General features: G+C 39.5%; 1 annotated feature.

Moving 5' to 3' along the window:
• Positions 446–740: a silencer, noted in NCBI's record as "tiled region #1385; HepG2 Repressive non-DNase unmatched - State 22:ReprW". NCBI's record gives its function as "represses a minimal TATA promoter and a strong SV40 promoter by Sharpr-MPRA in HepG2 cells {active_cell/tissue: HepG2}" and the evidence as "EXISTENCE:reporter gene assay evidence [ECO:0000049][PMID:27701403]".

Below are 1,173 nucleotides of genomic sequence, written 5' to 3'. Positions count from 1 at the left end.
CAAATCACCTATTGGACACATTAACCCATTACCACCCACTATAATTATAATCCTCAATCATTCATCATTCCTCGCTTTCTATTGTATGTAATTTTATTGCATCTGTGTGTTCCTACAAATCACGTTTTAAAATATCAGATTTTTACCTTAGAGAAAGGGTATTATGCTACTACTACATGTGTGATATTTTCTGGAGCTTCCTTTTTTCACGTAATGTTATTGCTAAAGTTTTTTATAGGATTGCATATTGTATATCATTCGACTGCTATAGAATCCATTTTGTGAGTAAACCACAGTTTATCAATCCACTTTACTGTGGGGCACTTAGAGTTTTTCCAGGTTTTGATTATTGTAAACTGTTTTAAGGACATTCTTGCACCTTCCGTCTGTTGTACGTGTTGTGCAAGAGATCCACTTGGGCATTAGGAAACACCATACTGAAGACAGAATAACTCAAGGAAAGATTATTGGTGTAGGGGAATGTCAAGTAGTCACTTGGCCCTAGTTACCTTTCCTAGGCTGTAATGGATGAGGAGTGGCTGCTGAAACCCAAAGGAAGTTGCGTGTAGTCTGCCACCTTGAGAAAAGCAGTGATTTGCAGTCACAGCGTCTATTCAGCCCCAGGCAACATTACCTCATAAAGGGAACCAGGAGAAAAAGTGCTCTGACTTCACTCTCTTCTCTTCAGGCTCTTGCTAGGGTTTCCAGTTAGTCAAACAAGGTCAAAACCACACTTACAGAGCCCACTGCTGTAATCTATATGGTCAGCTTTCTAGAGCAGGGAGTAGAGTGAAGAAGGATGGAGGACAAATTAAAATAATTGGCACAGTCTACCCCTTTTGCTCCCCTGTATCCACTTTTATTCTTTGTCCATGTGAAAAGTATGTCTTTAACATCAGGGATATAAAAAGTCCATTAGATACTGAATCATTGTGTGATTATGTCATTTTACTCATTCCCACCTGAAACCGAAAATGATACCACAACCAGAGTTACTCATATAAGGTAATGGAGGTTGAAGGAAGAGAGAAGATCATTTAAAAACCGGCTGCTATAGTATTTACCTCCGTATCTACTCAAAGGTTTATGTTGGCAATCAGAACTGCCTTTCACCACCCATTTACCTATTGCCCTTCCCTTCCATCAGTACCTCAGTTGGACAGGGTTCTTTAC

This window comes from Homo sapiens, chromosome 8 (genome assembly GCF_000001405.40).
Source record: "Homo sapiens chromosome 8, GRCh38.p14 Primary Assembly".
In the NCBI taxonomy this organism is placed as follows: Eukaryota; Metazoa; Chordata; class Mammalia; order Primates; family Hominidae; genus Homo; species Homo sapiens.
The sequence above is the reverse complement of the archived record's forward strand: the minus strand, read 5'-3'. Positions and strand labels throughout refer to the sequence as shown.